This window comes from Homo sapiens, chromosome 2 (assembly GCF_000001405.40).
Source record: "Homo sapiens chromosome 2, GRCh38.p14 Primary Assembly".
In the NCBI taxonomy this organism is placed as follows: Eukaryota; Metazoa; Chordata; class Mammalia; order Primates; family Hominidae; genus Homo; species Homo sapiens.
Genome location: NC_000002.12, coordinates 102229347 through 102255599, shown reverse-complemented (window position 1 = coordinate 102255599; position 26253 = coordinate 102229347). Strand labels below are relative to the sequence as shown.

At 45.7% G+C, this 26253-nt stretch overlaps 1 protein-coding gene and 1 pseudogene across 17 annotated transcripts in view, besides 6 other annotated features; one reads left to right on the top strand and one right to left on the bottom strand.

Annotated features, from left to right (window-relative positions):
* Positions 4344-4937: an enhancer, noted in NCBI's record as "H3K4me1 hESC enhancer chr2:102867123-102867716 (GRCh37/hg19 assembly coordinates)". NCBI's record gives its function as "activates a minimal SCP1, AML or CMV promoter by ChIP-STARR-seq in naive H9 embryonic stem cells {active_cell/tissue: H9 hESC(naive)}" and the evidence as "EXISTENCE:reporter gene assay evidence [ECO:0000049][PMID:30033119]".
* CFAP144P2 (CFAP144 pseudogene 2) lies at positions 4373-5880 on the top strand (annotated as a pseudogene). Its single transcript, XR_007087162.1, has one exon. The product of XR_007087162.1 is annotated as a CFAP144 pseudogene 2, transcript variant X1 (transcript).
* A 6633-nt stretch (positions 5881-12513) lies between these two features.
* IL1RL2 (interleukin 1 receptor like 2) overlaps positions 12514-26253 on the bottom strand; it is a 56114-nt gene continuing 42374 nt past the window's right edge. For 7 of the 16 annotated variants that reach the window (NM_001351447.1, NM_001351448.1, NM_001351449.2 and 4 more), the window contains 3 exons: positions 22476-22637; positions 20323-20703; positions 15598-16408 (listed from right to left, as the gene is read on the bottom strand). In NM_001351447.1, coding sequence (NP_001338376.1) covers positions 16359-16408; positions 20323-20703; positions 22476-22637 — 593 coding nt within the window. In that variant the 3' untranslated portion in view covers positions 15598-16358. Of the gene's footprint in view, positions 12963-15597; positions 20704-22475; positions 22638-26253 lie in introns of those variants that run through there. The other 9 variants (XM_011512091.2, XM_011512093.2, XM_011512094.2 and 6 more) reach the window with 4 other exon arrangements.
* Positions 14537-14831: an enhancer, noted in NCBI's record as "tiled region #14071; K562 Activating DNase unmatched - State 12:CtcfO". NCBI's record gives its function as "activates a minimal TATA promoter and a strong SV40 promoter by Sharpr-MPRA in K562 cells {active_cell/tissue: K562}" and the evidence as "EXISTENCE:reporter gene assay evidence [ECO:0000049][PMID:27701403]".
* Positions 14538-14597: a silencer, noted in NCBI's record as "silent region_11829". NCBI's record gives its function as "represses an Ori minimal core promoter by ATAC-STARR-seq in GM12878 lymphoblastoid cells {active_cell/tissue: GM12878}" and the evidence as "EXISTENCE:reporter gene assay evidence [ECO:0000049][PMID:35858748]".
* Positions 16686-17885: an enhancer, noted in NCBI's record as "CDK7 strongly-dependent group 2 enhancer chr2:102854175-102855374 (GRCh37/hg19 assembly coordinates)". NCBI's record gives its function as "activates an origin of replication core promoter dependent on BRD2, BRD4, P300/CBP, MED14 and CDK7 cofactors, with strong dependence on CDK7, by STARR-seq in HCT116 cells {active_cell/tissue: HCT116}" and the evidence as "EXISTENCE:reporter gene assay evidence [ECO:0000049][PMID:35650434]".
* Positions 19757-20257: an enhancer, noted in NCBI's record as "H3K4me1 hESC enhancer chr2:102851803-102852303 (GRCh37/hg19 assembly coordinates)". NCBI's record gives its function as "activates a minimal SCP1, AML or CMV promoter by ChIP-STARR-seq in naive and primed H9 embryonic stem cells {active_cell/tissue: H9 hESC(naive and primed)}" and the evidence as "EXISTENCE:reporter gene assay evidence [ECO:0000049][PMID:30033119]".
* Positions 20258-20758: an enhancer, noted in NCBI's record as "H3K4me1 hESC enhancer chr2:102851302-102851802 (GRCh37/hg19 assembly coordinates)". NCBI's record gives its function as "activates a minimal SCP1, AML or CMV promoter by ChIP-STARR-seq in primed H9 embryonic stem cells {active_cell/tissue: H9 hESC(primed)}" and the evidence as "EXISTENCE:reporter gene assay evidence [ECO:0000049][PMID:30033119]".

The following is a 26253-nucleotide window of genomic DNA, read 5'->3' as shown; positions in this document are numbered from 1 at the left end:
TGTATACTCAGGAATTCAAAGATGGCTTAATATCAGGAAATGTATCAATATGCTTCATCATACCAAAAAGTCAAAGAAGAAAAATCATATAATCATCTTAATATATGCCGAAGACTCCTATGACAAAATTCAATACAAATTTTCAAAACTTAAAGCTTTTAGTCAACTAAGCCTAGAAGATCATTTAATTTAAAACAATTTAAATGTAAAATAATTAAAATTTTTAAAGAAAATAAAAACAGCCAACATCATAGCTAAGAGTAAAACCATAGAGATATGTCCCCTCTCATTCCTATTAAGCAAAATTTTAGACAGTCTAAAAATTAGACAGAAAAAAGAAACAAACTCCACAAATAATGGAAAGAAAAAGACAAGTTTATTACTATTTCCGGTTATGATTGTCTATATAAACAAAATAAATCTGCCAATAAAATAAAATAAACAGCAGTTGACAAGTTAAAATAAAAGTAGAAAAACCAGGATTTCATCAGCCTGGAAGTAACTATGAGAAAAAAAAATGGAAAAAAACATTCCCAATAGCAACAACAAAACAATTTCTGAGAAGAAATTTTAAAGAAACTTAAGCCAGGATCTATGTGAAAAAGTACTGTTATATTAAGAGATATTAGAGAAATATTGTATTAAGAGATAGTACCTGTTTCTAGAGAGGCATAAAATTGTAAGTTAGCATAAATTCAAAACAATTAAAATCAAAATACCAATAGAAACTTAAGACACTAATGAATGAACAAAAAGAGTCAAGAAAGTGTAGACAAAAGTATAACGATAAAGGTGGCTGGTATTGTCAGATGTTAAAATACATTATAAAATAAAAATAGTCTGTGTTTATGCCTATATTCCAGGATTGGGGATGACTTCTTTGTGCTTTTTGCATTTTCAAGTTTTTTTTCAAGTATTTATGAGCAGAGAAATCTTTAAAAATGTAATACCACTAAGTCTTTCTCCAGCTGTGCCTGTTCAAGGCTCCCACACCCTTCTCCCTCTCCTCGTTCTTGAGTTCTTCACCCCAACCTCCACCTTCTAGTCCCCTCTTCATTCTTGACTTCATGTTTTGAGAAATTGAAGTCTTTGTGGGGCTCTGAACACTTCTCATGATTTTATGCTTCTTCTTCGTGTGAGACAAGGTCTTCGGCCACATCCACCTCCACCCCATCCACCGTTTCCAGCCGACATTCCTTTATGTGGGGATCACATTCTCCAGAAAGTTCTCTCTGACCTCCCATGCCCCATTTCCCTTGCCCTTCCTACACCATATGAAAATTAAACATAATAAAATTGATTCAAGAAAAAGAAACTTTGGTTGAAGGTGATATTTCGCTGTGGAAGGAGGGTATCTTTTATTGCCTTATGTTGAAATCTTTTCTACTTATTTCTTAATTGAGTTATTTTCAAGATTCATGTCTTACTTATGTTTGAAACCTTAGACTTCAAACCAGTTTATTGATCTCAACTCAAAAATACTTTTTAAACACAATATGGATATATTACTAGGGATGTTTATAAGCTTATTCTTCAGTCAGATTTCAATAATCTGTTTGAAAATTGGCATAAAGAAATTTAAAGCCCAGAGATTTTAAAAAACGTTTATAAGTAGAGCCTCTATTGAGATATGCAGAGCAGAAAGGGTGCCCTCAAGTGGCTTACACTAAATTTTATTGTTCAAAATATTCTAGAATGTTACCCTTTGTGGCCCCTGTCTGTTTTACTTAAATCTATTATAGCATCAGTGATCTAAATATTTTTCTGAGCTTTTAGACCTTCAACGGTTTCTTTTTGAACTTCCACAATGGGTTCTTATGATTCTTCTTTATCTCCTATGATATTTTCTCATTAGTTTTATTTTCCCCCCTTTTAAAAGGAAGGGTTTATTAGTGAACTCAGCAGTTACAAGCCAAGGGGGTGAAAAAGTCAACTCTCTATTCAAGAGCAACTAGGAGTAAACAAACTTGCCCTTTTACCTGTGAATTCACACCTGGTCATGGTGGTGAGGAGGTGAGCAAATCAGGGCTTCCTGGCCATAGAAACAAGTGTGTATTATCAGCAGAATTTTTGTGTGTTTCTGCAGCCTGTACTGTATGTCTTATCTTAGGCAGCAATGTCAAACCAAGCAAAAAAGGAAAACTTGGTCATACTCTGATAGTTCTAGCACATGGTTCCAGCTAAAAGAAAAGGCAAAATCTTAGAGCTGTCCCAGGTCATTGCCCTAAGCTCCCCTCCTTAGAACAACCAGAGCAAAACGCAACCCACCAAGTCACACCATGTTCAGAAATTGAGTCATTATGGAAAAGGCATTGTTGCATAATGACTTATCTAATTCATCTATGTTGATTTAAGCAGTCTTTAAATCAGGCCTTTTAAAAAGAGAAAAAGAAAGAGATCTCTCTTTATTTGGGCATGTCAGGTATGAAAAGGAAATTTTCTAAGCATCCCAAACTCCCCAGATGGAACCAGGACGGGCTGTGCTCACAATCTGGGCAAACTTCTTCAGGACAGAGAAAGGTGGAGAGGTCTTTGATGACAATATGCCCGCTTAACCCAAAGCATGGCTGTGCTTAGCCCCCATTTGTGTGGTTGCTTGGCTTGTTCTTGTGTTTTGAAGCACCATCAGAACAACCCAAGTGTACCAGTGACAGCCCCAGTCCCTTCCTGGGTGTGCCCTTCCTCTCTAGCACCAGCCAATAGCCTGAAGAGACCCACTGATAGCCCATCTGCTCCACACTGCCTCATTAGGGATCAGCCCTCACTCTTTCACTTATTCCTAAAGCTTATGTGTCTAGGAGTGGGGAGAAGTGATGGAGTAGTAGAGGATTATGACATTTATTGGTTCAAATTTAATTCCGCTTTCATAACTATAGAAAGCATTTGTCTGGCTAGGTTATGCCAAGTAGATACATTAAAAGTTGTTTCTCGGCCAACAAACACATGAAACATCACTCATCATCAGAGATATGCCAATTAAAACCACAATGATATCATCTTGCACCAGTCAGAATGGCTGTTAATAAAAAGTCAAAAAAACAACGCAAGGACACAGAGAAAAAGGAACGCTTATACACTGCTGGTGGGGATGTAAATTAGTTCAACTTCTATGGAAAACAGTGTGGAGATTTCTCAATTAACTAAAAAGAGAACTACCATTTGACCCAGCAATCCTACTATTGGGAATCTACCCAAAGGAAATGAAATCATTACATTAAAAAAGACACTTGTACTCAGATGTTTATTGCAGCACTATTCACAATAGCAAAATCATGGAACCAACCTAAATGTCCAGCCACAGTTGATTGGATAAAGAAAATATGGTAAGGAATACTATATAGCCATAAAAAAGAATGAAATCATGTCCGTTGAATCAACATCATGGAGCTGGAGGCCATCATACTAAGTAAAATAACTCAGAAACAGAAAGTACAATACTGCATGTTCTCACTTAAAAGTGAGAGCTAAACAATGAGTACATATGAACATAAAGATGGAAGTAACAGACATTGGGGACTTCAAAATGGAGGAGGGTGGGATGGTAGTGAGGGATAAAAAATACCTATTGGGTACAATGTTCATATTTTGGTGATGGGTACCCTAGAAGCCAAATCCTCACCATTATGCAATATATCCATGTAACAAACATGCACATGTACCCAGGAATCTAAAATGAAATAAAATAAATATTTAAAGATTTAAAAAAAGTATTTTAAAGAGTAAAGCTTCAAACCAAGGAATACGGGGACCAAGGGTAAGCTAGGAAACGCCCAGGTCTGCTCTGACGCGCCCCCTGCAGGACCCCGTCCAGACATGCAGGAGAGGCAAGGCGCTGGTGCGCGCTTGGGGCATTTTGCCTTCCCTCCTACCTGCCCTCTCCTGACCCAAGTTCTAGCCCCACCTGCTTTGTCACCACCGCCAGCCTATGGAAGTTCCCTCTCTGGTCCTTCCTGTCCCATGGGTAAAATGGACCTAGCATGTCTAATTGCGCATGTTCCCGCAGTGATGTGAAGGACTGAAGGGCTTTGAACGCTGCGCTGTCTTAAGGGAAGGTGCCTGGGGCACTGACTTCGTCCCCTTTTCCCAGATCCTGCTCAGAGCCGCTCCCCCAGGCCCCCGGCCTCTAACTGTATCCTAGCCCTCTGATCAGCCTTTGCCTACTGAGGGCAAAACTACAGGGTACAAGAATAGGGGTTGCTATGTCCCCCCATTTCCTTTGTCTTCCATTTCCCCGTTCGCTCCTAAACCCTGAGACGGGGCCCTGTGCCAACTCGCGAGGGGCTCCCGGCTTCACGGGGGGCGCAGGTCACAAAGCACGTTCCGCCCTGGAACGCCCTGAGGAGATAAAAGCCGCGCAGGCCCCGCGCTCGCCGCGCACTCCGACCGTTCCGACGAGGGAGCTTTGCACTCGCTGAAAATGACTCGAAAGCTGCCCCGCCTCTCCGCCTCCCAACCCCGGCGCCCGCTCGGCGCCACCCCGCAGCTCCCTGGCAGTCGGCTCTTCTTTCCTCCCATCCGTCCCCCGTTTCTGGACCCGCAGACTACGCTCCTGTTCCAGCCCACCTACTCGTCCTTCTGCCCCATCTGCTACCCGTCTCTGAACCAATTCGTCCCCGTCCACTACCCCGTCTTGGGCATCGCCCTGCCGAGCTCTTCCTGCCTGAATCTTCATAAGATCTGCATCTGCCGCCCTCATGTCCGTTGGGGCCCCAACTTCCACTACGTCCCTCCCTATCCCCCCACGCCCCCGCCCAGCCCCTGCTTTTAGAAGCTGCCTACAGCCCGCCCCCGCCCAGCCACCCACGCGGCCCTGACGATCCACGACCCCACGGAGGGGCCCCTGCAGGCACCGTGCTCGGGCAGCGAAGGAGCGGACCCTAGGGTCCCCGCGGCCTGGCTGTGGACACGGGGACGCAGGACCACGGACACCCACCCTCGGCCTCCGCTGCCTGCTCAGCCAGCCGCGCCAGCCTCTGCATTTGGCAATGGCTTCCCCGTGGGCCTTGGTCTGGAACCACGGAGCAAACTGCAGGCCCGAGACAGAGAAGGGAGAGCACGAGGAAGCAGCGCCTCTGCTCGCTGGGAGAGAAACGACTGGCCAAGGTGAGGCCTAACCACATGCCCATGACCTCCGGGTCTGTCCCGTGACAGGAAGCCCTTTCCTGGAGGTGTCCACGGGCGGTTGGGGTAAGGGCTGGGTCGCCAGGAGCTGGGGCTGTGGGAGTGCTGTAGCCTGGAGACCGTGTGGGACACCGTTGCCTGGAGAAGGCAGAAGCCCGGGGCCAGGGAGAGAGGCACAAGGGAGCAGAGAGCGCATCGAACCCGATGGAGCAATGCCAAGGCCATGGCGGGACACCCCAGGGAGAAGGTGATCCAGGATGAGGTCCGTCAGAACCAGATCTTGCAGGAGCTGTACCTCAAAGGGCTACCAGCCCAGAACGTCTATGCGCGGTATCACGTGAACCCCTCCACGAGGTCCACAGATCACCAGGAAGCCCATGTCTTGGCATGGTAACCTGGAGGAGCCTGGAGACGCCAGGTTTCGGAATCTCATTCACCACGCTGCCCAGGGACCAAGGAAGAGGGACCCAGACACAGACCGAAAACCAGGAAAGTGCATGGGACTCAGTGCCCCCCCCTCAACCCAGAATGCCCAGATTGCAGGCTGAACCACTGCAGGGTCTGCAATGACATCGCTCTGTACAAGGCTCAGATGTGGAGCCTGGGAGGAGATGATGGCCACCAGTGGCATCCCAGCAGTGGACTGAGGCGCCGGATTTCATGCCTTAAGTGTGCACTGCCCCCAAAAATAAATTTTTTATGTTACTTTTGAGCCATTGTATAATTTATACCCAAACACACTTATGATAGGAACCCCAAACCTAGTATGGCTTTTTAATCTCTTTTCCAAGGAGAGAAACTTACATGATTTCATAGAAAAATTCACATTGCTACAGTGATATCAATCAGAAAGAAGTCTGCAGGAAAAGACTAACATATTGAGGCTTGTATTTGTTAGGATTATTTCCATTGTGAGAAACAGAAACCAAATTTAAGCAGAAATGAGAAATAGTTAACTCCTAAACTTCAGAGTTCCAAGGAATTCAGGCATGACAGGATCCAGGGACTCAAACAATGTCACAGATCTCTCTTGGTCTCTCTTTCCTTCTCTGATTCTGCTTATCTCTTGACTCTTCACTTTTGACATGATTCATTCTTGACGCTAACAAAATCTATCCTTGTGGAAGGAAAGACTGCTACCAGCAAAGCTATACCCACATTTCAGAGACAGAGTAGGAGAGGGAGCAAGAGAGAGACAATTTTTCCCACCTAATCCAGCTGAAAAGAATCTCCGAGGATTTAGGTTCATCTATCCTGTGTTGCAAAGCTGCCTACAAACTGTGCAAGCTGTACCATGTTAGGGTTGACCAAGCCTGGGCATGGACTCACAGGAGCCAAATGCACACAGGAAGCTTCCTAGTGGAATCAAAGGAAGGGTGAGAAAATGTACTGCTCATACCCAAAGTGTAGTCTATTACAAACTTACACATTCTCCGGGAATAAACTATAGAGTAGGAGGGAAACTGTCACTTAGGGGCACTATGGCTTATTGAATTTTGGAGTCAGCCAGCCCTGGGTTCAAATACTATGGAGTACTAGGGAAAGCGATCAAAACTCTCTAAAGCCTGATATATAGGAATGTGCAATATATACCTCAGAAGGTTCTTGTAAAGGCTTGTGCAGCCACTGCCTGGCACATACTAAATGCTCAACAAAACATGAATCCCTATAGTGGTCAGCAGCACCATTTCATGATGCCGAGTGTAGTTTGCTGTGACTTGTTTATATGTTTAGACAAAACACCTGCATTCATTCAAAGTTGTCCTTCCTTGTCCTTTTGTCCAAAGAACATTGTAACGTCATCCCCAGAGTGGTGCCCACTTATGCCTTCTTCCCACAGCAGCCCACACTAAATGTCAATTCTGTACTCCTTTCCTATAACAAAGCTTCCATTTTGTCTCCTTTCTATCTCAGCCATCAAATTGAAATGCAATCAAATAAATGTACCCTTGCAAGTGTGTGAATGAAGCTGTTGGAGACATTAATAAAATACTCTTGCTGATTGCATACATTAACTATTTTAAAATTTTAATTCTAGAAATGTATGTAGTAGTAGACTGGTCTCCCCCAGAGATGTTTTAGAGCAACACAGCTTTTCAGCATCTCTAAAATGTTACTGGGTAGGTAACTGCCTATATAGAAAGCCAGGTCTAACTGAGACACAGTATCAAGCAATAGGCATCAATTTTATTATTGTTGTCAATAATAAAAGTCTGTTATTGTCATTCAAGCCAATAGCAGGCTTTTATTTGGGACATAGAATCAATGGCCTTTGGTGTTTCAGATATAAGCTGTTCCCAAAAGCTTGAGCCCAGAATAAGGTAACAAAAGCATCCTACATTAAAGCTGGAAGTGAATAAGACTATGATAAACTCACAAGTAACCTTGTGAGACAATCTTAGAATCTGTTTTGTATGTTATATTTTGCTATATATAACTAATATAAATATTGTGCATATTATTCTGAAACTTTTTATCAACATGGCTTGAAGTTTACCCATGTTCATACATGTATCTGAAGTTCATTCTTTTTAAACTGCAGATAATAGTGGATTTGGGGGATGTACACAGCTTCTCTGTACTCTTATCCACAGACATATTTAGTCTGCTTCCAAAATTCCACAGTTACAAATAACACATCAATAAATATTCGTATGCACATGCCCTTATTTGCATGAATGAGAGCTTCTTTAGGCTATGTGCCTAGAACAGCTATGAGCATTATGGCTAAATGCTCTCTCCACAGTGATTCTACCAGTGAGCAGTAAGTTCAACAGAGAAGCATCCCTACTGCCCCATGACCTCACCAACATTGCCAGGCCCTTTAAACTTTGCTAATCTGCAAGATATAAAGCAGTAACTATTGTGTAATGACATGTCCCTTATTATTAGTGAGATTGGGCTCTCCTATGGGTCTTGATTATTTGGTGTCCTCTGGCTTTGAATTTCCTGTTTATATTGTTTGTCCATTTTTCTATTGTCTTTTTTCTTTGGTTTCCAGAAGTTCTTTTAGAAAATATGGTGTCAGATGCCACACAGTATCTTTCCTCTTGTTCAAGATCTTCAGCAGAGGCTGAGGCTGAAGACAGAACATGCTGAGCACCAGCCACAAGCCCACTGAGAGGGATGTTCCCTAGGAACTGGCCCCACCCACACCCCCACCCCAATGAACAACCACTCCACATATGAGGAGAGCTCACGGGTCGTCTTTGGGCCTTTGTGTTTGGTTCATGAAAACAGCTTATTTCTTCCTCACTCTACCGGGGTGAGGGGAGATCCCCAAGAGAATTATTCCAAAACTTTGAGTGCCATCAATAAAGTGGGACTGGATTTTGATTCCTGCTGTGCACCTGATTAGCTGGTAGATTCACTGTACTGTCTGTCCCTGAGTCCCTGAACTAGAGAAAAGTAGACTTGAGAAGAGGTGGTGTGGTGAGGCCCTGCCCAATGGAGTGGGCCATGAATGCATGCTCCCCTCAAAGTTGGGCACATGCCACCAGAGGTTCTGATTCCTAAGAAAGTAGGGAAATGGAGCCCCAGCGCACCTGCAGACCTGAAGGTAGACTGTGGTGGGAAACTGAGCTAGAAGCTCCAGGCACAAAGCAGCACAGGCCCCACAGGTGTGCATGTGAGGCCACCCACTGCATGGCCGCCTGAAAGCACAGCTGGGTCCCTCCAAAACCCACCTTTGCCAGGGTCTCTCCTCAGATATGAGCCCCTTGTAGGACATGAAGGTGTCACCATCCATCCACTTGATGCCCTTGGGCAATGAGCAGGGATGGCAGTTGTGGTACCCCAGGCAGAGCCATCATATGTAGTCAAAGATGTAGACATGGTTTTTTCCCTTATCTCTCACTGCTCCAAATGAGGTGGGAGAGATGGAGGAAGAGGACAGGTGTGTGACAGCAGCCCATCACCACCTTTATTCCACCCACTAGTCTCAGCTCCCATCTCCCATGAGCAGAGTAGAGGAAAAGAAAAGCTTGGAATCAAATGATTAAAGTTTTAACATGAACCAGAGCTGAATCTGATAAACCCCAAATGACTCTTCGAAGCACCAGAAGTGACTGCAAAACTATGAAACCTAGCAGAAATAACTGAAGGGAGCTTCTACCTAATGGAAAAAAAGGGCTTGACTTTGGGGAAAAAAAATCATGTTTCTACCATGCTGCCTTGAACTCAATTACCTGGCTACACCTCTCTTCCACTTGCCACAACAGTCTATGGGGCTGTTGTGATTATAAAGTGAGATTTCATTTGACACTCTTCCTACCTTGATGGCACATCTCTAGAAAAGACTACCCCAAAATGTTCACCCATCCAATCCTGAAGCCTAGGGCTGAGTGTTGTGTCTTTAATTCATTCATTCCTCTGTGTTTCTGAGGCAAGAAGGAGGCATGTACAATCCGGGCTCCAGTCAGCTCTCTGCATGCATTTTTATTGCTTCCTGACAAATCAAGGTTGCATGTTCTTTTTAGAATCCCTTTAGGAAGCGAAGGAAAAACACCAGGGCGCTCCCTGGGGGACACGTGGGGCAATCGCTGGAGCCCTCACTTGGGTTTGGGACTTAACGCTGCTCATCTGCCTGGGTTGTAAGGTCCCTTCTTTGTCACTGAGGTCAGACTACCAGATACCTCCCTGGAACATCCACAGGGTTCGTGTTGTGGCGGACAGACCCTCAGGGGCAGACAGAGCGAGGCGAGGATGAGCCCTGAAGACAGGCCGTTCTTTCCCAGGCCGCTCCGTCCTCAGCAAAGCAGGACCGACCCTCCCTTCACCCCGCACCACCGCCACCGCCACCCCTCCCCACGGGCCAGCGGGACCTCCAAGCATGATCTCAGTACTTATTTCAGGCTAGTTTCACCCGAAGACAATTTCCCCGAGTACCAAGGGAAAACCACGATAGATTATTTATTCTAAATAAGCCAAAACAATGTCCCAAATGGACACGCCTGGTGGAGGTTTTAGCCATGGGTTTAATTGAAACCAGACAGCTCAGAGGAGAGCACAGCTCTGTTTCAAGCTCCCAGATGGCTCCTGGCCGCAACGCTTTCCCACACTCAGGCCTGATGTGGTGTGGAGCCGGGCCATCACCTGGCCCCTAGGTCAGAAACAGGTGCCGGAGCTGTTGCCTCTTCCTCAGGTGGGGGCTGGGGGTGTCACAGTCAGGTCAGCCATAACCCCTTGTGACTAGTGTTGCATTTTTTAAAAAGAAAGAGAAAAAGAGAGTCTCTCATCAAATGGCTTTCTTCCATGATTTTCCTCCTGCTCTCTCTCTGCATCTCCTCACTCCCCTACCCCCAGCCATCTTCCCACCCCTTCCTTGTGGCTGTCTCCTCCATCTATTAGATCATGCATGCCATCAGGGCAGAGACATGCCTCTATGCTCACCTCTGTATCTATATAGGAGGCCCATGTGTTCAATGAGTGGCAGAAGGTGACAACAAAACTACAAAAGGCCAGTTTGGGACTTTTGAATAGTATGGCTAAATGACTACCTGAGTTCTCTCATTTCCCCCTAAAGTGGCTACCATGCACCTTTGGCTTGGAAGGTAGACAGGTGGCATGGAGGGAAGTACAAGATTGGTCCTTTGAGATCCCTGAATGCTCTTTCACAGAGGCAAGGTTTCCAGGAAACCAAACAAAGCCCATCTTTTGGTCTCATACCCTAGAGAGATGGGACAGGCAACCTCCTAACACTAGGTTGCCCACTGGACTCTTGGGAGCTGCCTTGAACAAGGCCTGAAGGGACACCCGGTGCTCAACACTGAAACAGAAATCTGCCACTGTTTGATATTTGTCCTTCAAACCCCTAGGTTGGATTATAGATACAAATAAAATTAGGCCAAATTGTCCTTACCTTGCTTGGAAGCCATACAACAGATATGCAAATTAACTTGGGCAGGAGAGACCCGAGCAAATCTCACCATTGCTCTTGCGTCCAAGTTCCCATCATTCATTCATTGGGCCAAGCTCTGTGGAAGGTCTAGGGTGCCAGCAGTGTTCTGAGGGTCCTCAATTCCAGAGAAGGCCACAGCTGTACCTTCCAAAGCATTTATTTATTGGCCATGGTAAGAGCTGAGAGATAAAGACCCTTAATTTTCACACAGAATAAAATAGAGCCTACCTATTACTCATTCAATCAGAAAAGCTTTGTGGGCATTCTGACACCTGACTGATGTTGCTTAAAACAGAAAAGTTGGAAAACTGGAAAGAGAATTGATTTTCAAGCATGGGGTCTGGGAGTAAATGTCCTACCATTGCCCACCCACCTGCCCCCAATCAAGTACTTGGCTTTCTTACTTCAATGAGCAGATAATTGATTGCCTACAAGAAGACCTACAGGCTTCTCAAGATTCCAAGCATCCCCTTTAGAAATGTCTCTAGAGCCTGGTGTGGTGGCTCATGCCTGTAATCCTAGGACTTTGGGAGGCCAAGGTGGGCAGATCACCTGAGGTCAGGAGTTTGAGACCAGTCTGGCAAACATGGTGAAACCCCCGTCTCTACTAAACATACAAAAATTAGTCGAGTGTGGTGGCATGCACCTGTAGTCCCAGCTACTTGGGAGGCTGCGGCAGTAGAATCACTTGAACCCAGGAGGTGGAGGTTGCAGTGAGCCGAGATTATGCCACGGCACTCCAGCCTGAGTGACAGAGCGAGACTCCATCTCAAAAAAAAAAAAAGTCTCGAGAGTATCTATGCCCTGTCAACTGTGATATGTGAAATGAAATCAGAGAGAGTGACATGAAAGCAGGGTCGGGAATAGCCCAACATCCCAAGCTTTCTCTTCGTTTTAGGGGACTTCAGCCTCCTCACAGGAAAGCAGCTCTCCACTGCAGCCTGCTGACCTCAAGCCCCTGCCTCCTCCAACCTCTTTCTCTCTGGGACCACACACATGGGAATCATAAACACAAAAGACCCTGAGTCTCAGTATGGGCTTTTTTTGTTGTTTTGCCTTGGTTGGGGCTGGGAAAAGAGATAACACCAGTCAGGTCTTATGGTTGCTTCTGTTTTTAATTAACCTGCTCTACTAGAGTAGGTACTGGGAAAGGCCAGATGGTTCTCCCCTTTTGTTTGGAGCTCTGAGCTTTCTCCACCCCTGTGTTATGGCCTGTTAAGTTTTTAGGATCCATCCAACTGGATGGAAGCAATGGCACCATCCACCCCTAGGGAGGCCTGCTTGAGAACGTGCCCTACTGAGAATCACCAGCAGCAGAGAAGGTACAATGGATAAACATACAAGACAGGGGACTAGTGGGGCTGGGAATTGCACAGCCACACCTTGAAACAGAGAAGTGTATTACTAGGTCCTTCAAGACCAAAAACATCCCATCACAGCTTCTTGATCATTTCTTTTGAAATGCACAAAAAATATATAAAACAAGAAATTCCCCAGTGTCATTACCAAACTAGGAACTCAGGCTTGAGCCTGGGACACCTTAGAATAGGTTTTGCTTTCTGACATCTTCAGCCAGCATTGGTGGGAGTCACAACTGGTACAAGCTTTCTGGAGGGAAATTTGGAAGAATGCATCAAATGATCAGATATAAATAGATCTATTTAAAAGATAAATTCTTCTATTTCCAGTAATTTATCTAAGGCAAATGATCAGATGAATGCACTTTGTTTGTAAAAGTAACAAATAGAACAAACCTAAACATCCATGTGATGGTTTACCTTATATGTCAACTTGCCTGGGCTGAAGGATGCCCAGATTAAACATTATTTATGGACGTGTCTGTAAGGGTGTTTCAGCGGAGATTAGCGCAGGAATCAATGGACTCAGTAAGACAGTGAGCCTTCCCCAGAGCAGGTGGGCATCATCCAAATCCCTTCAAGGCCTGAATAGAACAAAAAGCAGAAGAAGGAGGAATTCTTCTCCACCCCTTTTCAAGATCTGCCTCACTCACTGCTTGAGCTGAACCATCTCATCTTCTGCCTTCAGACCGGGATTTATATCATCAGCGCCACTGGTTCTCAGGGTGTTGGACTCCAACTAAAGAAATATTTCACTGGCCTTCCTGGGTCTCCAGCCCACAGAGAGTGGATTGTGGGCCTTCTCAGCCTCCATGATCATGGGAGACAGTTCTTAATTTTGTATATATATAAAAGTCATATTGATTCTGTTTCTCTAGAAAACCCTGACTAACGCAATTCATAAATCTAAGATTGGTATTGCAAGATCAAATCTATGTGAATATTCATATATACACCAAAAGGATAATGAATATTTTTATAACTTCCTGTTTTCATAAATTTACCCAATGAGCAAATAATCAGGGAGGAAAAAGCTGTTTATATTTTGAAAGCAAAACAAAAATCTCCATCCTTAGTTTCATCCGGCTCTTCAGAATAGCCAGGATGTCTTATTTCACAGCAGACTTGCGTAAGTGTCTGAGGGTTGCGAGTTTCTTTGTTTTTAAAAATTTTTTTAACTGCTCTATGTTTTCATGAATGAACTTCACTCATGGGCAGTCTTGTTTCACAAACTCATGTCCTCCACCACTCCCTGCACTGGATTATTTTGAAGTAAATCCGAGACATCATAGTATTTCATTCACAAATGTTTCAGTATGTCACCTCTAACACATAAGATGCTTTTAGAAACATAACAATGCTACCATTATCATGCCTAACAATTTAAAAGGAATGCTGTAACATCGTGAAATACCCAGCCGGTGATACACTTCCCTGGGGCCATGTCTAACAACTGTGTTACCCCTGGGTGGGTTATCTAATCTCTTACACACTTACTTTCTTCATTTTAAAATGGAGAGGATATAGGATAATTGACTGTTAATGAGATAATGTACTTAAAGAGCTTAGCTTAGGGTCTGTCTGGCACATGGTAAATGCCCCCCTACCTGGCGGCATCAGATCATTTGTGATGTTACACACATTTTCCGTTCACCGGGCTTTTGTACGAATTAATCCTTACTTTGTAAATGTCCTGTTCATATTCTCTGGCCCTTTTTGTAGTGGGCAATAAGGATACCAACATTGTATTATCCCTTTTTTACAGAGGAAGAAACTGGGGCACAGGGTTTTTGACTTGCAAGAGGGATTTAGCTAGCATACTCCCTCAGCAAGTGGTTGAGTTGTGACTGGAGTCCAGGGGCCCGACGCCAGGGCCACCTCTCTGAAATCCCTATGACCGCAGTCCCCTCTTGCGAGCACATAGTAAACAGGGCCTGCTGATCCCCACTCACCACCCTTGGACAGACTGCGACAGTCTCAGAAGCCCAAGAGTTAGGAACACATTCGAAAATGGCACTATCTCCACCTTCTCAGCAGCCGAAAAAGAAGAAAGATATCCTTGGCCTTAAGTTGGAGAGCCCCGAGAAGGTAATGTGTGCACCCCGGGATGCCCGCCCACCTGTAAGTCTCCATTCTGGCCGCCTAGGTAGGTTGCGGCAGCCTGAACGGGGCTCTGTGAGCTTCGGGCTGGACAGCGGTTCCTCAGCAGCCACTAGAGGGCGCAATGGCGCCGTAGGCAGGCACCGAAGTCCTTGTTTGCCGAGCTCAGGCGTGACCTTGTTTGTCCTGTGTCTCAAGAGAGGAAATGTTCATCTCTTTCTCAAGGTCCTTCACCCAGTGAGCTGCTTTCTTTTCCTCTTGATGTCATCCTTTTACACAGGCAGGAAATTATGTTCACTTCTACTATCCTGTGGTCATTTAAAACCACAAACAAAGCTGATTGACCAGGAAGTCAGATAATTAAAAGAGCCATAAGTTCTTGATAAAGCCTTGTTGATTGAAGAAAGCAAAGTAGCCAAAGTATCGTGATTGACAGGGGGACCAGCAGCCTGAGAGGCTGAGCTCTCCAGATTGCAGTGGAAAGGCATAAGTTGGTTATTAAAACAAGTTGGCGAGCTGTGACCAGCATTTTGAAAAATTGAGCTAGACTTGAACAAAATAGAACAAATAACATAGAACAGAGCTTTTTCCATTCCGTGTGTGCATACTGAGTTGCTTACTAAATTATGTTTCTCACTGTACTTCAAAGTTTTAAAAATATGAAAGCCTTGACCGGGCTCGGTGGCTCATGCTTGTAATCCCAGCCTCGGTGACAAAAGCGAAACTCTGTCTCAAAAAAAAAAAAAAAAAAAAAAAAAAAGGAGGAGAAGAAGAAATTTGGAGAAATGAGGCCATCAGAGAGGATGAGAGGACGAAAATATTCATCAGGACATAAAGCTTTGGTGGCTGTCAGACTGAGAAACAGTCCATCTACTAAGTGTGGGGAAAAAAAGCTATTGTGCATGACCCTCATGTTTCTCTATAGCCTCAATCACAGGTTGGGTTTTGCCCAACTTTTCAGTGGACCACACCACGAAGGTAGTGGATTTAAGGTGAAAAATATTTGAATGTTGACAAGCTAATTGTCAGATGATTTTAGCAGAAATCAGTTTTCATTATTTAAACTGATAAGAAAATGTTTGTGATTTTGACAGGCATGGTAAACAAACAAAATTGTGATTTATGTTGCTCAAATGAGAATAAAATTTATTTCACAAATTACTGATATTTTTAACATTTACAGTTTAATTGTTCATTGTGGAAAAACAGAGAAAAGGGCATACGCTGTCCAAGCACAGGCTTCCATGTGGGCTCAGCCCACCATGACATGGGGATGAATCCCAACTCTCACCCACCATGACAGGTGATCCCCCCAGCTCTCACCCACCATGACAGGTGATCCCCCAAGATCTCACCCACCATGACATGGTGATTCCCCCAGCTCTCATCCACCATGACGTGGGGATACCCCCCAGATCTCGCCCACCATGACATGGGGATGCTCCCAGCTCTCACCCACCATGATGTAGGGATACCCCCAGCTCTCACCCACTATGACCATGTGGATGACCACCCGCCCTCACCCACCATGACACAGGGATACCCCCAGATCTCACCCACCATGACATGGGGATGCTCCGAGCTCTCACCCACCATGACTTGGGGATGCCTCCCCCGACCAGCCCTCACCCTCCATGACCATGGGGATAACCCCCAGCTCTCACCCTCCATGACCACGGGGATGGCCCCAGCTCTCACCCACCATGACATGGGGATGGCCCCAGTTCTTATCCCATCCTCCTCTTCTCTACGCCTGAGCTCAACTGGGTGTCTAGAATGCTAACCCTAGCCTCATCCTGCAGCAGAAAATAGGTGTAGGAATGAGGAGACATGGAGCAAAACAAGTCATCTTCCAGCCATAGGTGTCAGTCCAGCAAGTCTTAGCCAGTCGTGAGAGTACACTTCTTTCTTCTTGAGCCTAGTTCTGGGCCTGAAATCAGGAAAGATCTATTTACTCCTTTTCTGATGTGGTGGGAGATGGGGGCTGATAAGGAAACCTGCCATGGGAATGCGAAAACCTCCACCTTGCCGTCAGTTCATCTGGTGGTATATCCCTGAGGCTTCCATTTCTCTTGGGTTATCTTTGCAAGGTGGTTATGCCAGAGGATCACAGGTGAGCAGTGTCAACTCTCACCTTTCCTATAAGAGCCCCAGAGGAAAGGTGAATTTGGATGACAAGAGCCAGGGCTCTGAGGTCCTTCTCAAGTGGAGAGCTCCTCTCCAGGGACAGCCTGGGAGATGAGGGTGGAATTGTATTAGTGAACAGCAGCATTTCTCAGAAGTTCCTGGGTGTATGGGAGGGGACATCCACACACAGAGTTCCCATCTCCCAGAATAATATTACTACTGGAGATGTGTGGCCTCTAACATTCAGACCCAGCAGCCACCACTCCTAAAGCCAGCATCACCCTCTGTAGCTCACTCCAGACCTCATCTGGAACAGCCTCTGTTCTTCAAGGAAACCAGGAAGGAATTTTCCACTTTACACAGCCCCAGATCAATACCAAACAAGCATGTGTTAGAGGGAAGTTTATAAATAAAAAACAGGACCAAGTGCCGAGGAAAGGTCAACCAACCATGACGTGGCAGGAAGTGGTCTGCGTCACTATGGGGTGCTGATGGGTGTGGGGGGCCCTGGGGACTGAGGCTCCCTGAGCACATTCCATATTTTGGCAGGCCAGCTCCTCATGGCATCCCACGGTTTGCCAAGCACTTTTCACATGTATATCTTCATCTTGCTTGGTCCTCCGGGGAAAGACCACACCTTCCCGGTCCCTTTATTTAATGTGACTGGGTCTTTCCCAGGGCCTCTCTCATGAGCCGACTCAGGGTATTTGAGGGGAGATACCAAAGGTAGTGGGTTTTGTGGCTGACTCAGTCATTATGGGAAGGTGAATGTAAAGGTAACCCAGCGACTCAGCACCTGTATTTCACCTCTCTGGTCCAATCTCCGCTCGCAGCCCTACCTCCAGGTCAGTCCCTGGGGATTCCCAGGGGGGTCTCTAATTCCCTCAAGCCAGGGTCTTGGAAAGGAGTGATGAGGGTTTACAGCTAATTCATAGTATTAAAAAACTTTGTGAATCATTAAATTATAAATTGGCCTGTGATGAAGGCACACTGGCTCCTTGGAAACTGACTTCACTTTGCTTGGAGTAGAATTCTGGAGCCCACCCCCAAGGGCTAGGGATAGGACCCCATTGACCTCATATTTGCGCCAAGCCCAGCTGGAGAAACGGGAGAGAATTGAGGGTGGCCTTCAGCGTTCCCATAAACTACCTTTTTGTCCCTTAGCCGTTGAACTCTTAAACCTCCTTTCTTATACAAATTTGGACTTGAGACCATGAGCGGAGCTGTTACCTGCCAACCTGCCTACATGTCAGCGGTGATGCCAGGCTACTTCAATTATTTGTATTCTTGCTGCATTGCATCCCTATTATTTCATTAGGAATTAGTAGAACTTTAAAAAGTTTCTTTGCATCTCGATTTCTCTCTCCAACATGAGAGTCGTTATTCCTCATGGAGGATTCGCTAGTTTAATTAAAACAGGCTGTTTCTCCTATTGCACCCAAGAGGAAAATGGGCATTACTGATCTGTTCCGCACTCTGTCCCCTCACTCGCTGCCGTTCTCTTCTCTGGGCTGGTCTCTGAAGGCTGCCTGCAGTGCTGGAGTGGGCAGGGTGGCTGCGGGCTGGCTGAGGACGCTTCGTCCTTCCTTCTGCGGAGTGCATGTGAGACCAGGCCACGCCAGGAAACCCCCTGAGGGCAGTGGGCACCACCTCTGGCCACTTGACTAACCCCGGGGCAGTAAGATCTGGACCGCAAAGGGTGAGTGGTCACTGGCTCGTGGTTTGGTGAGGATTTGGGGAATACACCCACCCCATTCAGATTTGAGGGCATCTCAGCACCCTTCCCCCTTCCTTCCCAGCCATTTCCCTCTGCAGGATGGAGGCAGCCAGAGGCAGCCACAGTGTGGGGAGAGTGGGAGAGGTACGGGGACGTGTCCTCTCTGAAGGGTGTGCCTGTGAATTTTAGAAAATGGATTCTCTAGCAATTAATTATTTATAAATGAATGACCACACTCACAGGACATCAGTCGAGGCTGTCAGCAAAATAGAAAGCTGACCCGTCAGACGAAAAGGTATTTTCTGGAAACCTCTGACTTCCCGGAGACCAGCACTGTTGGTAAATTCTTTAACTGGAGTTTTATAAGTCAAAAAGCTTCCCTCTTTCCAACATGTGTCACTACTTTCTTTTTATTGAAAAGTATCAAAAATGTAATAGTAGTAATGAATTATAGTAGCCATTTTTTAATGCTGTTATTCTTAAAATGTATTTTATGTCCTACCTCAGAGCAATGGGGAGGCAATGGGAAGGCAATGGGAAGGCAATAGGGAGGCATAGCTTAATGGGCACAGAATTTCAGCTTGAGAGGATGAAACAATTCTGGAATGGATGGTGGTGATGGCCGCACAACAGTGTGAATGTACTTAATGCCACTTAAAAATTGTTAAAATGGTGAATTTTATGTTCATATAGTTTACCGAAATAAAAATTTTAAAAAGCAAATGTTAAATAAAGAGTGGACCAATGTCAAGTCGAGGCCTCCATAGGATGCTAAACAAATGTGTAATGTGAGGTCACCTTGGAACATAAACTCTTCAAAGACAGGAGTGGGTTCCTTAGCACCTGAAAGTCCATCCCACACTGGGTACCACCCATCGCCTGTGAACGAGGGCACAGCACCTCCTAACCCACCCTGCTCCCCATGCCATCCTAAGACCACAGGCCTCCTGACACCCTCTGGCTCCCTCTCTCGCCCCTGCCGGCTGGCTCTCAGGGCTGACTCCCTTCCAGCCCCCACTGACTGCTTACTAAGTCTCAGTGTCAACAACCCACAGCTTCAGAAGGTTGAGCTATGCCTAATTCCCTCAGGCCAGGGTCTTGGAAAAAAGTGATGAGGGTTTACAGCTAATTTTTAGTATTAAAAACCTTTAATCATTAAGTTATAAATTGGCCTGTGACAAGGGCACATTGGCTCATTGGAAACTGACTTTGCCTTGCTTGGACTATAATTCTATCATCTGTGTGCTAATTGCGTCTCTCACAGGCTGCTCAGAATTCTGGTTGACATGTGTCTAAAAGAGAGAGAAAAGGAATTCCTGCTTGCTTTAGTTTGACAGATAAAGCCTCTCAAACATGGAAGGGTGACCAAGAGGCAGTCATGGCCACTCCCGTGGGTCCCCACTGGTCTAGGTGACTTTTAACTTGCTTCTGGAAGCAAAGTGCTAAGGCTGTGTTTGCAGCTCTTTGTCTGCACTGACAGAGTGAGAGAGACGCAGACACAGCAAATGACCCCTGAGCATGGGGCCCTGAAGACACTGGACAGGCGTGGACAAATACTGCTATCCTTGCCAACCCTCTCCTGGTGCTAGACTGCCCTCCTGTGGTCCCCCGACAGCACAGGCTCCCATCTCAGACTCTATGGGTGCCACATCATGGGCAAACTTCCGGGCATGTCCACTGCCATTTCTAAAACCCTCCATGTCCTGTTCTCAAGGGGCCCAAGTGCTGTATCCATCCAGGCCTCAGTGAGTGGGCATGTGTCAATAAGCCCATAGGCTAAAGAGGGCCTTCTGCAGAAGCCGTGTGTTTCCCTGAAGAAGCAGCTCTGATCGAAGCAAACAAATGACAACAAACACAACAGATCCTCTCACTAGTACGCAACTGCCAGCTTCAGAGCAGACGGCCCCGATGAAACGTGTCCTCCTCCAGCTGTGAGCCACCACGCAATGATAGACCCTCCATCAGTGCGTGACAAACCTCGTGTCCTCCCACCCGCTCACCTGCGGTGCGGTAGCAAGGTGTGTGCTGCAGCAGCTGGACCGGAGGAAACGGCCGACACCTTCTGGGCGGCATGTGGTATCTCACTGTCTTCCAAAACTTGGTCTTCATACACTGTGACTGCTCCGTGAAGTCCCCATGCCACCGGATGGCACCATGCTTCTGTTTGATGTACTGAATTGACTCTGGCATGACTGTGTAGTCCTCGATTTTCTCCAGCTCAATGAGAATAACCTTCATCCCGTCCTGGATCAGGGCACTGTAGACCGCGATTTGTTCTTCTGACAGGTTCTTCAACAGGCCAAAGCCCAGCGATTCGGGGACCACAATGACAATCAGCCTCCTGCACAGCTTAACGTTTTCATCGATGACATTGGCCACGGCTGGAAATAAAGAAAGAAGGCTCAGAAGAACTCACAATTAAAACAGCCCGGGTCTTAATGCTAGTGAGAATGTTTGAAACAGGCCAGGAGAAAATTGACTTTTTTTTTTTGAAGTGAAGTCTCACTGTGTTGCCCAGGTTGGAGTGCAGGGATGCAATCTCAGCTCACTGCAACCTCCACCTCCCAGGTTCAAGCGATTCTCCTGCCTCAGCCTCCTAAGTACCTGGGATTACAGACACGTACCACCACGTCCAGCTAATTTTTGCATTTTTAGTAGAAACGGGGTTTTACCACAAGCTGGTGTTGAACTCCTGACCTCAAGTGATCTGCCCACCTCGGCCTCTCAAGGTGCTGGGGTTACAGGTGTGAGCCACCTTGCCTGGCCAAAAATGGACTTTAAAATAAACATGACTTAGTCAGGAATGGATTAATTCAAGTTTTGGGTTTTTTCTTTTTTTTAATATTTGTCACCTCTTCTGTGAAGCCTTTGTGGCTTTCCCTGGAGCCTTGGTCCTCTATAGTCATGAATCATGTTTTGCATGTGGTTTCTTTGTATGTCACTTTCCCTGGCCAACAAGTATCTGATGGTTCCTAACTCTGTATCCCCAGACTAGCTGAAGGTCTGGTGTATATTAGCAGATGAACACGTTTTTAAAAATAGATTTTAAAAGGATAGGAAAATGTAGTTAGCTGAAATGTTGCATTAATCTTGAATCTGTGTTTTCCTTTTGTTCTTTATAGTTATTTAAATGACCAGGATTTATGTGAGTAATTTAGAAACCAAATAACATGCCCTGATGATTGCTTGGGAAAGGGAGGTTTCTCTAAATACCCAGCTCTGCAGATGCTATTCAGTCTACAGTTGCCTCTCATGGGAAATAAGAATAGACTGGAACCTCCCTGAGGACAGGCCCTTCCGCTTGGCTGATTTTCATATTTCTAGTGCCTAGAATACTGTCCATCACATAGAGGTTTTCAGTAAATATTTGTTGAATAAGTGAGTGAATTGGCATTTACTGGTGACTAGAAAAGAATGTTTATTTCAGATTTCAGCCATTTTGCTGTATAGCCTTCCAAGAAGGAGAACAAAGGGACAGGAAAGCACTGTTGTGTGAGTGTCTAAAGTGTGCTGAGCTCCATGCCGGGGACCCCTTCTCAGGTTTTCTCATTCAGTTCTCTCATCTGAGTCAGGGAAGCACCCCATCCCCATTTTACAGATGAGACAACTGAGGTTGAGAGAAGTTAACTGAACTGTCCAAAGCCACCTTCCTATCAAGTGGGAAAAGTACACTAAAACTTCCATTATATTTAGGGAGGGGAGGGGGCAAGTAGGGTCGAGGTTTATAAAATCAGCTTTAAGCACGACCTGATTTACATTGTTCAAACCCATGGAAAACACCCAGCAGTTCATCTCAGGGATGTGAGGCTCAAATGACCACTCGCCACCTTTCAGTCCTTTAGCCACCACTACATCACTGGCCACCTGTTTCTGTGAATGGCTTAACCATATCCTCACTCAAAGTGAGACGCGTGCTGCTGCAAGCAGGAATCTCAGGCACTGCGGGGCAGGGAGGAGCCTAGAGCAGGCAAAGAGCTTGGGCCTAACCTCCTTGGCTGGGGGCTGGGGGCTGACGGGCAGGGGGCGCTGGTCATAGACTCTCTGTGGTTCCATGGGGAAGGCAGGCAGAGTCACCGCCATTAGTAAAGTGGAGGAACAGAGGGGTCGCTTTCCTTCTTTTATTTGTTATTTTTACACCTCACTTAAAACCCACCTTGTCCAGGGAATTCATCTCTGCCGAATATAAACAACTTATATCCACATTGTCTCTCCAACACCTCGGGCAGGATATTCAACACCAGGGCATCCACGGCATGCCTCTGGCTTTCCTTGTGGGGCTTGGGGTATAAGACATAGGCGTCATACAGCTTCCCATCTGAAAAGGAATTGGACAAGCTTGTGGAATTGTTGCTACCAAATTCTCTCATGTTAATAAACCGGAAGCCTGAGCGGCTACCATGGTGTCCTTTGGCCTGGGTTCCATGACTTCTGAGTGCCCAGTTGGCTGACTTGGTGCCAGGGGCTGCCAAGGGACATCATCTCCTCTCACAAATGGACCCCTGAGGGAGGTGGTCTTATCCCCAATGCTCAAGAGTGAAGCTGAGGCTGGGTAGGCTGCATCACATCTGCAATCCCTAACCCTACCCCTACCCCACGTCTTTTGAGTCTAAGTCCACCACTCCCTGTGATGTGGCCAGAAATGAGAATTAAAGGCAGAAGACTCGTCCAGCGCAGTGGTGCATGGCTGTAATAAACAAGCTGAAGCAGGAGGATAGCTTGAGGCCAGGAATTCAAGACTAGCCTCGGCAACATAACAAGACTCTCCAAAGAAAATAATTTTCAAAAAGTTAGCCAGGCATGATAGCTCAGGCCTGAAATCCCAGCTACTCAGGAGGCTGAAATGGGAGCTTAGGAGTTCAAGGATGTGGCCAGGCATGTGGCTCATGCCTGTAATCCCAGCACTTTGGGAGGCCAAAGCAGGTGGATCACCTGAGGTCAGGAGTTCAAGACCAGCCTGGCCAACATGGTGAAACCCTGTCACTACTAAAAATACAAAAAATTAGCCAGACATGGTGGTGGGCACCTGCAATCCCAGCTACTCAGGAGGCTGAGGCAGGAGAATCGCTTGAACCTGGGAGGCGAAGGTTTCAGTGAGCCGAGATCACACCATTGCACTCCAGCCTGGGCAACAAGAGCAAAACTCTGTCTCGGAAAAAAAAAAAAAGAGTTCAAGGATGCAGTGAGCTATGATCACGCCACTGCACTCCAGCCTGGATGACAGAATAAGACCACATCTCTAAAACAAACAAAAAAAGGATCTCTAAAATAAACAAACAAAAAGCAGGAAACTCTAGCCATTTACCCATGTTACCCTCAGCGTGTCCTGTATGACGAAGCACTGTCCTAACTGCACCAGGCAAAACTGGATGACTCCCTCTTGATTCAGGCCCACCAGTGAATTCCATCACTACAAACCCACAGACTCACATCTGTGAAACAAGAGAAAAAGCAATTGAGCAGACTCTAGTAATCTGCAGTGCCGTTGAGAGAAGTCAAACCCAATGGCGCATGTCGTCGTCATCAGTATTTATTGAGCAACCTCAAAAGCAGCCCCTGCATTGGCCAATGAAGAGATGAACAAGACCTCACTGGGCAGACCATCCACATGCACAGAAGTTAAACACAAGACTCTACGAGGCGACGAGAGTCAAACGAACAGAAAAGACAGCAAGAATCAAAAATCCCCATGGTCTGGAGTTCTTGAAAAAAAAAACTCACAATGAACATGGGACCGCTCCTGGATTTTATTTTATTTTATTTTATTTTTTTATTTTATTTTTAGATGGAGTCTCACTCATGTCTCTCAAGCTGGAGTGCAGTGGCGCCATCTTGGCTCACTGCAACCTCCACCTCACAGGTTCAAGCGATTCTCCTGCCTCAGTCTCCTGAGTAGCTGGGATTATAGGCGCCCGCCACCAGGCCCGGCTAATTTTTGTACTTTTAGCAGAGACGGGGTTTCGTTATGTTGGCCAGGCTGGAGCTCCTGGATTTTAAAGGGTGGGAGAGTTGAGGGGAAAAAAGTGAGGGTCTAAGAGTGGATGGTAAACAGTCTTGCAGGGGTGCAGCTTCAGAAGGGCATGGAAGGAGGAATAATTCCCTACTCAGGAATCCTGTGAATGAATAAGGACTTCAGCAGGGCCAGAGGGCTTGAGTGGAAGAAGAGGTAAGTGTGGGCGTCTCATTGGAAAACGCGATTTCGAGCTTTGGGCTGTTTAGAAACTCAGACAGCCTAGTAGGTACTAGAGAGGGGTGGTGTCCTTTTCTATTTCCTTTATATGAGAGTTTGTTGGATGAGCAGACTTGCAGAAAGAGGTGATTTTAAGATTAATAAGGGAAAGGAAAACCTTGTATTCTTCTAGCTTTCGTCCAAATAATAGTAATGAAAATGTGCACAGATCTTGACAGTTTACATAACACCATTTCTCAGTCCATCAATTCTCACACCAACCACTGCTGACCTTCGGGTCCCTGCTCACCATTCTTGGCCATCTCTTACAGAGAATGGTAACACAAACACACACGCATGCACATGCATGCACACCCATGCTTGCACATGTAGTCATATACACGCATGCACACACACACGTGCACACTCCTTGTCTGCCTCCCCACCCCATCATGAAAGGAAGCTGTGTAAGAGTGGAGACTTCGTTGGCTCCCTGCCCTGCCCTCAGCCACTGGAGCAGGACCGGGCGCAGAGGAGGCCTTCATCAGTGCTCACCGAATATCCAAATGAAGCTTGATTTTACGGAGGCTCAAAGAGCTTATATCTATGTTGGGGATGAATCTGAGATCAGACTCAGCTTTTTAAAGTGGGATCACAGGGCAGGTACAAAAGGGATAACTAATTTGTGTCTTGAATTGGCAAAAACCCAACATAGCTGAAACTCCTTGTGGAATCATAAAGGTCACTGATCAGGGCCACCGCTCAAATAAGTGGATACTTTTCTGTGTGAAATTTCATAGCACACATTTGACTTTCCAAAGCCAGAGGATTTTTTTTCCATAGATAGAAAATGGGAAAAGAAACATTTCATAAGTTTCTTATGTTTCTGAACTTTTGGAGAAGGAATTCAATTTTCCCACTTAAAAATGTGATCATATTAATCCTTTGGTTTCTGATGAAGGGCTGGGTGAGTTGATGCTCGGTTCACCACAGAGAATAACCTCTCTGGTAAATACAGTGTTTCCTGGTCTATTCTAAACTACAGCAGACATGCAGGCTTATTGCCACTTGTCCCAGACCCTGCCACTAGTTATCTCTCTTCTCTCAATCTGTTTCTCTTTTTTCCTACTGTTTCTGATTTTTAAAACAAACAAACAAACCTTGTGTGCTAAGTGTATTCTCTCTTTTGCGAATGTTCCCTGTTCCCTGTTTCTAAACAAGGTGTCTGAGGATATAGGTACTTGTTGCTCTCCAACTTCAGGATCAGAAGACATTTGAGTAGGAAGAAAGTCTCACACCTTTGAAAAATTCAAAATGTACAAATGTGCCCAATTTTTTGGTCATCTTTTTTTTCTTTCTGTCTGACTAAGCTTTTGAGTAGAAATAGAACTTGCTGATGTTCTCAAAACGTAGTGACTTTTCATCACTTTCAAATGACTAATTCATAATTTACTGACCAATACATTAATAGCAAGAGATCAAGTTGTAGTCCACTGGTTTTGAAGAGCCTTGCCAGGCAACGGCACCTCAACATTTCCCGGCTTTGCTTCTCATGATCAACCGTGTGGGACATGGTTCTATCCCCAAATTATGAGTAAGGAAGCTGAGACCAGCAAGACTGTGCGATCTCTCCAAAGTCTCCCAGCTGGTGAGTGCATAGCCTTGATGTAAACCCAGGTCCACCGCTCCTTTTGCTGTGACTAAAATGAGAAATGGGAGCAGGAAATTTCACAAAACTAATCCCTGATTAGTCCTGTGCAGCTGT